At 38.7% G+C, this 14126-nt stretch overlaps 1 protein-coding gene across 9 annotated transcripts in view, besides 2 other annotated features; it reads right to left on the bottom strand.

Moving 5' to 3' along the window:
* Window positions 1–14126, bottom strand: part of MED14 (mediator complex subunit 14) — an 87855-nt gene that overhangs the window by 27493 nt on the left and 46236 nt on the right. For all 9 annotated transcript variants that reach the window (XM_047442636.1, XM_047442638.1, XM_047442643.1 and 6 more), the window contains 6 exons: window positions 12657–12733; window positions 7039–7199; window positions 6806–6952; window positions 6055–6146; window positions 4961–5113; window positions 4067–4336 (listed from right to left, as the gene is read on the bottom strand). In XM_047442636.1, the coding sequence (XP_047298592.1) occupies window positions 4067–4336; window positions 4961–5113; window positions 6055–6146; window positions 6806–6952; window positions 7039–7199; window positions 12657–12733 (900 nt within the window). The remainder of the gene's footprint in view (window positions 1–4066; window positions 4337–4960; window positions 5114–6054; window positions 6147–6805; window positions 6953–7038; window positions 7200–12656; window positions 12734–14126) is intronic.
* Window positions 309–460: a silencer, noted in NCBI's record as "fragment chrX:40535358-40535509 (GRCh37/hg19 assembly coordinates)". NCBI's record gives its function as "represses an EF-1alpha promoter that drives an FKBP-Casp9 reporter gene in an ReSE screen in HepG2 liver carcinoma cells {active_cell/tissue: HepG2}" and the evidence as "EXISTENCE:reporter gene assay evidence [ECO:0000049][PMID:32094911]".
* Window positions 2804–3014: a silencer, noted in NCBI's record as "fragment chrX:40537853-40538063 (GRCh37/hg19 assembly coordinates)". NCBI's record gives its function as "represses an EF-1alpha promoter that drives an FKBP-Casp9 reporter gene in an ReSE screen in K562 erythroleukemia cells {active_cell/tissue: K562}" and the evidence as "EXISTENCE:reporter gene assay evidence [ECO:0000049][PMID:32094911]".

Below are 14126 nucleotides of genomic sequence, written 5' to 3' on the forward strand. Positions count from 1 at the left end.
TTTTTTCCTTTTTTATATTATATAATTTAATCTTGAACCATTAAGAGTGGGACAGCCTTGTTTTACATATTGTCAAAACTGAGCAAAGCTATCAGAGTTTGTGTTTCAAGCACAGATTCTCTTTAACACTCCTCACATCCCCAGTATTCGAATATACACATATTTGAATCATAAGCTTATCAGAATCACTAGAGAGCTATTAATAGTCCATAGTGGGCTGAGCATGGTGGCTCATGCCTATAATCGCAGCACTTTGGGAGGCCAAGATGGGAGGATCCCTTGCGAGACCAACCTGGGCAATAATGGCAAAACCTCATCTCTACAAAAAATAGAAAAATCAGCCAGGCATGGTGGTGCACACCTGTGGATCCAGCTACTAGGGAGGCTAAGATGGGAGGACTGCTTGAGCCCGGGAAGTTGAGGCTGCAGTGAGCCGTGATCCCACCACTGCGCTCCAGCCTGGGCGACAGAGTGAGACCCTGTCTCAAAAAAGAAGTCTACAGTCTACTTTTAATTAAAGATGATGGGCTCACAACACACATTGCATTCTTTCCCCACTAAACTACTGGAAAGAATTTTTTGAAGCAATAAGTAACAAAGACAAAAAGAATAGGAGAAGAGAAGAAACAGCAATACATCCGGGAGGCTGCAAAGCAGATGGCTGAGTAGCAACTAGAACCATCCAATGTGAGAAAGTTGTATCCTAAGTAAGCTGTGGGAAAAGCCAAGAAGCAAGCTATTTCCATCCAGATCCCTGAGATACTTTGGAACTGGCAGTATCAGGCACTGATATGGTTTGGCTCTGTGTCCCCACCCGAATCTCATCTTGAATTGTAATCGAATTGTAATCCCCGTGTTGAGAGAGGGACCGATTGATTGGATTATGGGGACAGTTCCCCCCATGCTGTTGTGATAGTGAGTTCTCACCAGATCTGATGGTTTTATAAGTAGCAGTTTCCCCTGCTCTCACGCTTCTCCCCTGCAGCCATGTAAGGCGTGCTTGCTTCCCCTTTACCTTCCACCACGATTGTAAATTTCCTGAGGCCTCCTAGCCGTTCTTTCTGTTAAGCTCGTGGAACTGTGAGTCAATTAAACCTCTTTCCTTTATAAATTACCCAGTCTTGGGTAGTATCTTTACAGCAATGTGAAAACAGACTAATATGGGTACCTTTGGAAGTGGGGATAAAAGTGGGACTAATAACAGAAGGACTAAGTGAAAGTCTAAGAGACACTTAGACCCTCCCAGATCCTCTGCTATTCTCACTGAGCTCGGTTATCTCTTCCACCATGGAGGAGGATCTCTGACTTGAGGGATGCCAAAGACCAACTCAGAGAAGGACTACTATATAAAAAATGGGGATCAAAGTCTACATAAATTTGAGAATACTCGTTTTTTCATTTGACTTTCCCAATATTGAAAGCAAGATGCATACCATCTATGCAGAAGATTTGGATACTCCTGTCTTGGTACTCACACCAGCCCAACAAAAAGACCTAAAGCTACTGATATCGGGAGTTTCCCAAAGAAATGGCCCAAGGAGATCATCCTGCAATGAAGACCACAGTCAATAAGTCTTACCTTTAAATAAGAGCAGAGAGTTAAGAATCGCTTAACATTTGAGGAAAGACACTAATATAAAAGAAATCAATACCACACCCCCCCACACACAAAAGCAAGGTGAATAAAATAGAGATTATGTAGGATAAAAAGAAAAAGTAATGTTGCCATATAATAGAATGTTTAAAATAAACATTTAGAAACAAAAAAAACCTTTTGAAAAAATTTTTTAAAGAATGGCCAAAATAAAATATTGGTAGAAATAAAAAATAGAGGGATTAGAGGAAAAAAGTGAGGTATCTCCCAGAAAAAAGAGACAAAAAAACAAAAGAAATAAGAAAATTGGAGGACAAGTCCACAATGCCTAGCATCAGAACATTAGGAGTACTCGAACGAGCTAACAGAGAAAACAATGGAGATGAACCAAGAAATAGTGCAAGGAAATTTCCCAAAGCAAAAGGATATTAAGTTTTCAGACAGAAAGAGCCCACTCAAGTCACATAATGTTCAACAGTGTGAACTCATTACACATCTCAATAGTCACAATGGAAGCCAGGAGACAATGAAGTAGTACCTTCAAAATTTTTACAGACAATGATTGCAACCTAGAGTTCTTTATCTAGCCACTTCAGTTAGATGAGGGTAAACTAAAGATGCTTTCAGGCATATGTGATTTCAAATTAATTCCCCACCCCCCATGTACCTTCTCCCAGTAATCAAAACAATGAAGTAAACCAAGAAAAAAAACAAGGCGCCCACCACACAAGGCATGCAATGTGCAACATAAAAGAGAAATGAAGGAATCTCCCCTTTCATCCTTTTGCAGATTCTTAAGTGAACACTGTGTAGAAAGCCCAGACTGCTATCAGTCCAAATTGGAGCAGGTCAGAGGCCTATTGAAGAGATTTCTTCAAGATGAAATCAATAAGTTATCTTGATATGTTTGAACATACTAAAAGGAGTTACATAACTAGGAGAAGAGTTTAAGGTTAATTAGTGATAGGTACTACAGAGAAAGCGAAACCAAAAAAGACCCAATTAATAATTCCCAATAAAATAAAATGTTGAGCAAGACAGGAAAAATAATCATAGTAAGCTTGGTTGCAGCAGCGCTTACATATTCATAACTGCACAAATGCTGAAAAATAATCTAATCAAAATTGCTACCTAACCATGTTACAAAGATAGGAGGAAAGACAAATGTGTTTATGCACTGAGAGCAGCCTGGAAGGGGGAAAGCACACATAAAAAAAAATTTAATAAGAATTAAAGCCTGGGCAACAAGAAGAAACCCCATCTCTACAAAAAATACAAAAATTATCCGGGTGTGGTCCCAACTACTGGGGACGCTGAGGTGGGAGGATGGATTTAGCCCTGGTGGTTGAGGCTGCAGTGAGCCATGATCATGCCACTGCACTCCAGCCAGGAGGACAGAACGAGACCCTGTCTCCAAAAAAAGAAAAGAAAAACAGAAAAAAAAAATAGAAAAAAGAATACTCATCTTCCATTGTGAGAATCAGATAATGCCCTCAACCAAAAAGTAAACAAATAGCAATGTAGGCATTCTACTTAGAGATAAAGATATAAATACCAAGAGAATCAGCTACATAAGAACTGAAAACAAGGCATCTGGGGAGCAAGAAAATGACAAGAGTGGGTTGCAGGAGACTATTTTTCAAATCAAGCCTTTTAGATTTATTTGACTCTAGACTAAAAACACATACAACTGAGCTATCACATCAGTTAACCACTCTGGCAGTTGTGGTCCAGGACCTTACATTTTTAAAAAGCATCAGGCCAGGCACAGGTTACTGTGATTCTAGCACTTTGGGAGGGTCCCAGGACCTTACATTTTTTAAATGCATCAGGCCAGGCACAGATTACATCACGCCTGTAATCCCAGCACTTTGGGAGGCTGAGGCAGGTGGATCACCTGAGGTCAGGAGTTCAAGACCAGCCAGGCCAACATAGTGAAACCCCATCTCTACTAAAAATACAAAAATTAGCCAGGTGTGGTGGTGCATGCCTATAATCTCAGCTACTGGGGAGGCTGAGGCAGGAGAGGCACTTGAACCCACATGGCTGAAGTTGCAGTGAGCCAAGATTGTGCCGCTGCACTCCAGCCTGGGTGACAGAGTGAGACTCTGTCTCATAAATAAATAAGCATCACAGTAGAATTGATGACCAAACCTTTTCAAAAATCAATGATAAAAACTACTTTTAAAGTTCCAAAGACCAAACACAAATTGTTTTTAGTATCTTCACCCTACTGATCAGAAGGTAAGAATATAAAGAAAAATACTTTTAATCATCTCATACACATAAGCACAACACTTTATCAGAACTTCTAGCTCCTTCAGAATGACGTTATACAGATGATGAGTTAACACTGCTACTTACTAAATTTAAACAGGAATTTGTTGCTTTTCCCCATTATTTCCCCCTCAAAGAAACTATTTTAGAGATAATTTTTATGTTTACTCATGTTATAACACTAAAGTCTGTTACCTTTAGTCCTGGTGCAGGATAGAAACCTTCAACTAGTTTGCTGTTATCAAAAAGACTATAGGCACCATCCCGTATTGCCACAACACCTCGACTCCGGCAGTATATATCAATGCAATACATGTTCCTGAAGGCCAGTCTGATGTGGGTGGACGACTGTGGCAGAATGGAGAAGCACTGGTAGGCAGTATTGGTTCTCTGGGTCAAGCCCAACATCGGCACAGTGGGGAGTTTGTTGATGGCATTTAATGGAGCCTGAGTATCAAACAGTACCTATAAGGAACAAACACAGTGAGAGCAGCCAGTTTCTGTACAAATGTTAAAACCTCAGAATTTTCAGTGTATAACTGTCAAAAATGAAACAACGTCCTTCTGGCACATTCCATAAAACTTCCCCTTGAAGAGAATGCAAACTAGATCACTGGGTCCACACTGAATCAAAGAAAATTCTCAAAGAAGTGTTCAAGATATAAAAGACAAAATTATCAGCCTTAGTCATTAAAGACAAGTCCCCATGATCTTTTGAAGAGTTTTGCCTGAGACACTAAATGCTGTTTTTTGTTTGTTTGTTTTTTGAGACAGGGTCTCATTCCGACACCCAGGCTGGAGTACAGTGGCACAATCACCGCTCACTGCAGCCTTGACCTCCCCAGGCTCAGGTGATCCTCCCACTTCAGCCTCCCAAGTAGCTGGGACTACAGGCGTGCATCGCCACAACTGACTAATTTTTGTATTTTTGTAGAGACAGGGTTTTGCCACATTGCCCAAGCTGGTCTTGAACTCCTGAGCACAAGCAATCCTTCCGCCTCGGCCTCCCAAAGGGTTGGGATTACAGGTGTGAACCAGCACGGCTGGCATACTAAGTCTTATTTTTAGACAGAAAATAAACTTAATTACCTGTAATAACTGAACCACATTTGGTGTTTTGTTGAACATTTCTTGAAGCTGATGGAGAATGGTATTGTGACAGTTACTGCAACCTGAGTTTGGGCCAACAGTTCCCAAAGAAATGTGGAATTTTTGATGGATCGAATTCCATTGGATACTAATCTAAATAAAAAAGATTACATGTTTCAGAAACTGAGAAAGTAACAGATTCAAGTAGGAGAAAAAAAAAATGTTAAAAGTAAGGCAAAACGCCAAAAATCTAAATGGAATTTTTTTTTGGAAAACAAGCAATAAAATAAGACTGGATTCGAACTCCAGATGTGCTGTTAATATTGAACAGTACACTCCCTGACCATGTGTTAGTCCTCTTTTACTAAATAAAACAGAAAGGCGCTAAAACAACTTTATTAAACTTTATTTGAAAATTATCATTAGTGTTTCTTTTCGTTTTTCTCTTGAACTGAAGAAGAGTCACACTTTTGGTACCATCAACTAAGGAGCACTGTCATAAAGGGGAAGGGCGCCACTCTGGACACAGATACACTTGGTTAACAGATTTTAAAAAGCTCAAGTAACCTGACATTACTTGACGTAGAAGTCTAGAGAGAAACCAGCTGGCTGCATTTTTATACTACATTTCTAGGACTTTACATATGAGGTGGGAAAAAAAATAAAGAACTATAGATTACAGGAAATACTTCAAGATTAAGTTAAGATGAAATAATGTTAACATTCATGTGACCAAAAGCAAAAACATACCATATTGTTATAACCACTCATACACAATTTTCCTTACAATAATCACATTGCCAAGCAAATCTGTAATCAGTGAAGAAAAAAATACAAACACCATCAGTACATTACCTTGTCCAAATTGCTTCAAGATTATATACCCCATCATAGGGTATTATTTTTGTTTTCAATTTTAAAGAGTTAAGCATTATAGTATACTATATTTATAGCCACAAAGCATTTAAAATTTACCATTTTATCCCTAACTTTTACTTGAGCTCTTACTTATATTAAGGTAATTTTCATGTTTTTTTAATTCTTGATTTTTAAGATTCATAAGACAGGAACTTCAGCATTTTAATCAGACTTACTGAGCTTCCCTTGGTGGTTCCATAACACAAGATAAGTTTTCGGTAATTATAAACACGAACTTCTGAGAAAATATTTAGATGAGCAGGTATGTCTAAACAGAAGGAAACAAAAAGGAGATTAATATTATACATGTAAAATTTTAAAATATAAATTTGAGTAACAGGGCATTTTGGCAATATTATATGCCCAGACAGGTCTCTAGTTAAGTAATTTAGTTTTTTAAAAAAAGCAACAGCACAAACAGATAATATGCTTCCGTTTCTACAAAAGGGGGCAAGGGTAGGTGAGATATACTGAAGCAGTCTAGCATAGTGGTTAGAGGGTTCCAATTCCAACTCTGCCACTCACTAGCTATGGGACTTTATGCAAAGTTCTTAGTCTCTGCAACTTGTTTTCTTCTGTAAAATGAGGAATAATACCTACCCTCATGATTGTGATTGTGAAGATTGTGAAAACTCATTTGTTAACACAAGCAAACTGTTTATAATATTGTATGCCACACAGTAAATAAGCACTATTATTATGATATGGTATACCTGTGTGTAAAATTTTTGCAAACAAAAGAAACTTAACAGTGGTTGTCTTTAGGGGAAGGAAATTGAAGTCTGAAGTGAAAGGAATACTTAAGTTTTATTAGATATACTTTGATTTTTTTGCTTGGAACACTGTGCATGTTTCACTTCAGTTAAAAAAAGGGTGAGGGCTTTTTTTTTTTAATTTATTTAAAAAGGAGATTATCTCCACACGTACCTGGTAGAGAACGTGCAAATTCCAACACACACTCATATAATCGTGCAATGCTATTCCAGTCATTAAGAAACATTTCAACCACCTTTCTACCACCAACAGGCTCAGACAACAGATTTTCATATGTCAGGTAAACGTGCCGGGATGGTCCTACAGGATTAAAAGAGAATATTAATAGTAATCGATACCAAAAAAATCCAGAAATATGCAAAGACAAAATGTGTGAAACATCTCACCTTGCTCCCTAGTAGAAGTGCCATTAAGTGGACAATTTGCAAACACTAACTCTGCTACCCAAGTGCGGTTATTTCTACCTTGTAATCGGAAAGTGCAATCAAGAAGAGAGCGGTCCAGAGCCTTTTGGGTTTCCTCAGTTATACCCTTACAGGGAGGAATTCTGGTGATAAAAGACAGCATATGAAGTATACTTTACACAGACAAAGCACAATGTACACAATGACAGACAAGGTATGACATTACAGCTTCAGTTCAAACTCCACTTCTAGATACCTTCTGCAAAAGGAGGAAGCAATTCACAGCAATTAATAGTATTTAATCCATTTCCATTCACATCAATATGGATTAGAACTCTCATTTTAACAGTGATGCTTGTCTTTATTCATAATTTTGTTCTTTAAAAAAGACTACAATTCTACAGAATGAAAATCAAGAATACTGGTTTTCTACAAAATCTATCTAGAACATCCTCAAGGAAAAGCTAAGGGGACCAAATCCTTATAAAACCACTCTTTGAAGACAGAATGATATAGTACAAAGAATAAGGGCCTTGGAGTCAGAGACCCACATTCTAACTCTGACTCAGCCACATTTAATGTCTCTGAATTTCCCAGCTACAAAATAGAGATGAAGAATTACCTTATGTGTCATTGACGAAGAAAATGAAAGTGCTTATGGTGGCTGACACAGCAAGTATTCATATGTTTTGTTTTTTAAGAGATGTTGTCTTGCTGTGTTGCCCAGGCTAGCCTTGAACTCCTGAGCGATCCTCCCACCTCAGCCTCCCGAGTAGCTAGAATTACAGGTGCACACCACCAAGCCTGGCCCCATGTATGTTAATTCTCCCTTGCAGTAAAACCAAATCTTGGTCACTGACTGAATAACCATGATAAAATTCCAGGTTCATTATCCCCACTTTGCCACCTCCTCCTCTGTAGAGGTAACTCTTATTTTCATAGAGCTTTACATGTGTTAACTCATTTAACATACATATTGTCACACATACATCACATATACAAGAGGAATGTAGTAGCTTGGTGTCTTAAAATACCTACCTATCCATTTTCCTTCTACCGTTTTACAAACTATCTCATTGGTCATAAAACATGATGAGGTAATATATTTTAGCTATTCATGAGTTATTTCAGTGAGATGAAATAATGAGATTACTTAATTATATATAACCTTTAACTCATACAGAAGGTGGTTAATTCTCAGATTTGGTATAATAAATATTTATATTGAGGCAAAAAAACAACAAATATAATTGGAATTAGAGAATCTTGGTTCAGACCCCTTAATTCAGAATATAACAAAGTTTCTCAGTCTTGGCAGGATTGGCATTTGGGGCTGGAAAATCCTTTGTTGCGGGGTGAGGGGGCTGTCTTGTGCAGCCCAGGCCTCTACCTACTAGGTGCCAGTAGCACTTCCTACTCCCTCTTCTCAGTTAATGATCAAAAACATCTGCAGACATTGCCAGAAGTCCCCTGCAGGGCAAAACTGCCCTGGGGTTGAGAACCACTGACCTGGAATAAACAACTTAAGAGAGCAAAAAATAGATTGCATGTGCTAATTAAAACTTCTATCACAGCTCCTCTTCAATATACAGCTTTTGAAGTTTTTCAAAAGTTAATCTTTCACACTACATACTTTTTATCACTGCCAGAAAGATTTTGTGCAACTGTATTTTGGGTAGTTATTACAGAAATTGCATAAACTACCTATCCGTTCTTCAACGTGACAGGTATACTGAGGACTTGCCTGCCCTTACCCCTCACGACATAGCCCTCTCCGTAGGAGTTATAAAGCAGCCAATTCAGACAGATTTTTTAAATCTCAAGTTTGAAAATATAAATGCAGTACATTATCTTCCTTTCAAATAAAACAGGTTTTTCACAAAATCTATCTAGTTAGAAAAGGAAAGCACAGAAGCCAGCATGTGTTCAAGTGAGAACTAACATCAGTGTAAGCCTCTTTTCCCATTTATGCTCTTAGGGACAGCGGAACCCTGAAAGTGCACTGTATATCACTTTAATCTGTGATGCAGATACAATGAGCTCTACCTCAAGGAATTCGTAAAATAGTTACTTGCTTTTAAGGTTATGAATGGAACAGAATGAATAAAAATAAACTGTAACTTTTATCTTCCCAGCATGATCATGTGAGGGGAAAAAAGCAACAACCCGAAACCAGGTTCCCCAAAAGGAAACCTGACAAAATTGTTACAAACTTAAAATACTGCAAAATACTATTATAGTACCTAAAAATTAAGAACCGAGGAAGGTATTTTCTGGACAATGGATTAACCTATCTGAAAATTTTTACCAATTCAAAAATGTTTGATTTACACAGCTGCTCCTAACCAACTTTTCTCCTGTACTTCTCAGTACTAAACAAATTGAGGAGCCAGGCTATGGTCTTTTAAGGTCTGGCAGATGTGTGTCAGCTTTGTTGTGAGGGCTTTTACAAACATCATTAACCCCACTATGGCCCTGCAGTGCAAAACCAGGGAGATCACTGACAGTGCTAGCAAAAGCAGCATGAGTGTGCCTAAAAGGAAAGTGAAGAGGTTTTTATAAAGATTGCACACGTGTATGAAGGACAAGCTGGGCTGCACAACTTGCAAAAAAAGAGCTGTGCCTGTGCATTATCAGCATAAGCTACAGGAGGCAAAGAAACAAAATGGAGGAAATGAAAAACCCTCGTGGGTGTGGCCAGAGGACCTTTACTACTGCACATGACTGTGACATGAGTTCAACGAGAAGGTGGGAAGTTTGCTGAAGCGTTCAAAACTAGGCACCATGAGCATGCTGCTCTCTCAAAACTTGTGTCCCAATCCTAATTTGGGTTATAGGATCAAGGCTCTTGAATTTGCACAAGGCAACAGGTCCATGAATCATAGCAATCAAAGAAATTTACTATGATCCATTTGATACTATGATTGCAGAGATGCATCAAGGAGGCCTGCTTAACAAATTTTCAAGGGGATAAAGTAGAACAAGAACAGAATGTATTTTTGGCAAAGAGAAGGAAAGTGTGCCAATTTTAAAGCTTTGAAGTATCAACTCATATTCATATTCAATATTAATATATCCAGAACTAAAAGCTTGTTACAAGAGTTTCTAAAGAATAAATGCATGAGTCCAATTCCATACTCATTAGGTCTATATAGGATTTTAATAAAATCATGTTGAGACATTTATTATTTACATTTTTTTCTTCTTCACTTCTATACCCTACCCCAATAATGGACAGCACTTACTGGACCAACAGTCATCTTTAACATATCCGTTTATGTATATTTTCCTTTACATTTTAAAATAAAGAAAACAAAAGCCAAGATTAAAGACTTTAAGAATTATTATAAAATGAAGCTAAAAAATATAAAGTACTTCCTTCCTAGGTAGGACTCTTACGCATTCTCTTGAGTTCAAGAAGAAAGGAGACTGAAATTTCTCTTGTAAAAATGCCGAGAACAAGATATTTTTAAAATTTCACAAACCATGAAAAATACAACTAAGAGAATAGAATGCAAATGTTAACATTATCAACTTATCTACAGGTGCCTAGAAGAGTAAAAAGAAAAAAAAAACCTATATTCAAGGCAAAGCAATTCAAAACCAAATGCAATTGGAAGTATTGCATTTTCCTACTGATTTCCATTTTAAGACTAGCTCTCTCTCTCCTGAAAACGTTTTTGTGGAAATGTTGTTAAGATAGCCAGGAAGAGGAACTATTCTAGTTCAATTCTGTAGTATCTAAAGTGAGCACTAATGACACATGGGTTATGTGACACTATTTGCTAGCTCTATCTACCTTCCACGGAAACAGATTCCTAGATAACAAATGGTAAAGCCCCACTGCTCAAATTGCAGAGCTGCTATGTCTTAGCAGACAGAGGAATTCAATAAATAAAAATTGCTTATATAATTTATATCATTAAGCAACATCTGGGAAACAATAAAGTGTACCCCTCCTTTGCAAAGAAACCTGTTTCCTGGACCAAAAAGGTTGATCTCTTAGATGGTATTCTGGCTTTGCAAGTCCATACTGGGTCACTTTTAAAGCACATGTACCACATTAGCTTTACTTCTAAGCATCTTTTGGCTCCTCGTCCTTTGTCCATTAGAACTTAAGCCCTATGCCCATCTCCTTCTGTATACTCTTTCCTGGTGATCTAATTTACTACCCCAGCTCAATTACTATCACCATGGTGATGACTTTATCTACTTCTCCTTCCCAGATCTGTTACCTGAGCTTGAAACACATCTCTGCCTGCCCAAAGGGTATTCAGGCACCTTAAACTTAGCAAAGTCCATTCAAACTCACATCTTTGGTGTCCCTGATCTCAGAAAACACTGCCACCATCCATCATTTGCCCAAGATAAAACCAAGAATCATCTTTGCCACTTTCCCCTCTTTCTCACCTTCAACACCAATCTAATCATAACTCGTGAATATTTTCTCTCCTAACTCCTTGTGGAACGTACCCTACTCTGAGCTACCAACAACTCTAATGTGAACCACTTCAACAAGTGGTTTCATTACTTTAGTCTTGTTCCCATTCAATTTATTCTCCATATTGCTATCAGGTTGAGCTTTCAAAAACACCTATCTAATGATGTCAGTTTTAGCTTAAAATCATCTGATAGCTTCTTAGTGCCATTAGGATAAAGCCTAAATTGTTGAAGGACATTTACATAGGCCTAAAGGATGTGACCCCTTCCTGCGTACATTTCCAGCCTCATTTCTCCCATCTCCTGCCATGCCGAACTCCTTTCAGCACAAAAATGCCAAGCTCTCTCTTCCCTCCAAGCCTTCACATTAGCAGTTATCCCTCTGGTTAGGACCTCCCACTGCCTCTGCCCCACTTTCCTCTGACTAATTCTCACCTCTCCTTCAGTCCAAGTATAACTGGTACTTCCTCAGGGATACCCTTCCTGACTTCTGAACTAGCCCATATTCCTCTGCTTTATGAACCCACAGCATTCTGAGGGGATGTCAGAATTCAAGCCTGACACACAGTCACACTCAATGCATATCTGCTGAACGAATCAAAGAAATGCAGAGAAAAGACATCCAAAAATACCAAGTGAGGCCAGGTGCAGTGGCTTATGCCTGTAATCCCAACACTTTGGGAGGCCGAGGTGGGTGGATCACTTGAGGCCAGGAGTTCGAGACCAGCCTGGTCAACATGGTGAAACCCCGTCTCTATTAAAAATACACAAAAACTAGCTGGGCGTCGTGGTGTGTGCCTGTAGTCCCAGCTACTCGGGAGGTTGAGGCACGAGAATTGCTTGAACCTAGGAGGCAGAGGTTGGGAGGCTGCAGTGAGCCAAGATCATGCCACTGCACTCCAGTCAACCTGAGCAACAGAATGAGACTCTGTCTCAAAACAAGCAAACAAACAAACAACAAAAAAAACAAAACCAAGTGATGCTGGATTGCCACTCCATAGATTAAAGGAATCTTCCCCCAGACCCTAGTAACTCTATGCAGAAATCCACAACACCCACAGGTTCTGAACACTGCTTTATGTTGTCTCATGAAAGAGAAGCAGCTTTCAGAGTGTGACTGCAACATGTGGCACCAAGTGAAACATATGACAGGGGCTTACTTTAATAAGCGAATTGCATGGCTGAAGCCATCACCTTCCACTTGCACTCCTTGATGTGGAATCTCCAGATTGGACAACTAGAAAGAGAAAAACAATTATATCAGACGACCAATTTTACAAAAACAACTACCATTTCTAAGTACTACGGTCTCTATTCTTGTGGCACCTGTTCTAGGACCATCCTTTCCCCAAGTTACAACATATTAGGCATGAGTATTATCCCCATCATTAGATTCCCTGGGAAACGACATGAAGTCCAGTGGAACTCAAAGCTGTCCCAGTGCATCTAGTTTAAGAAACACCTCCACAAGTGGCAAATATTCAAAATTTAGGAGATTAGTCTAATTTTTGCAGGGAGCCAAAAGTAATCTAGAATCAATTTTAGTAGTTCAAGAGGCCACAAGAATGGTTTCTCGTGTAATTCTCTTCTGTTTGTTCAAAACAATGTTTGAGTCACTGTCATAGCTTATTTCTAAATGATATTTTTTAGTTTACAACATTTCTGAAATACATTTTTAAGAATTAAACTACTTCCTATGTGAAACCCAAGAAAAGATTTCCAATTTGTGCATTTACCCAATGACATCTCTTTCCCAATTAAAGGATTCAGAAAGCAAATTAAAAAGATAAATGCAGAGATAGTGCCTGAAACCCTTTCCATGGGACTGCAAGTAATTACAGTATGCCAGAAAGTCATCTGATCTAAAGAAATGCTTGCCTTTGGCAGATATTCCCAGGTCTTGCATGACAGACTATTTATATCTACCATGTTCTGGAAAGGATTTAAGGAAGTTCCAGGTATTTGAGTGAGCCCTGCTCTTTGGGCCTGGGAAAGGGAAAGGTTTAGAAAAATAGCTGCTACCAAATAGGAAGTAGGGGTTCAGATTCAAAAGGAAATGAAGTGTGGGCCAGCTCAAAAATGTTGCTGCTATTCTATCAATCAGATATATAAACATCCGGCCAGATGCGGTGGCTCACACCTGTAATCCCAGCACTTTGGGAGGCCGAGGCAGTTGGATCACCTGAGGTCAGGAGTTCAAGACGAGCCTAGCCAACATGGTAAAACCCCGTCTCTACTAATACAAAAATTAGCTGGGTGTGGTGGTGTATGCCTGTAATCTCAGCTACTTGGGAGGCTGAGGCAGGAGAATCGCTTGAATCAGGGAGGTGGAGGTTGCAGTAAGCCAAGATTGCGCCATTGCACTCCAGCCTGGGTGACAAGAGTGAAACTCCATTTCAAAAAAAAAAAAGATATATAAACATCCCTTATAAGATGAGATTTAGTTTTAGTTATTCACATCTCAGCCTAAATTACTTTAAGCAGAAAATATACTTGCTTTTATCTTTAACATAGCTAGAATGTTCACTGAGAATAAAAAGTAGGTAAGTTTTTAAGAGCTTGACTGAGTTCAATAGAGAACTACAGAATGTTCATCTGTGTCCCATATGTGCAGCAGGTATAGGAATACA

Source organism: Homo sapiens, chromosome X (genome assembly GCF_000001405.40).
Source record: "Homo sapiens chromosome X, GRCh38.p14 Primary Assembly".
Classification (NCBI taxonomy): Eukaryota; Metazoa; Chordata; class Mammalia; order Primates; family Hominidae; genus Homo; species Homo sapiens.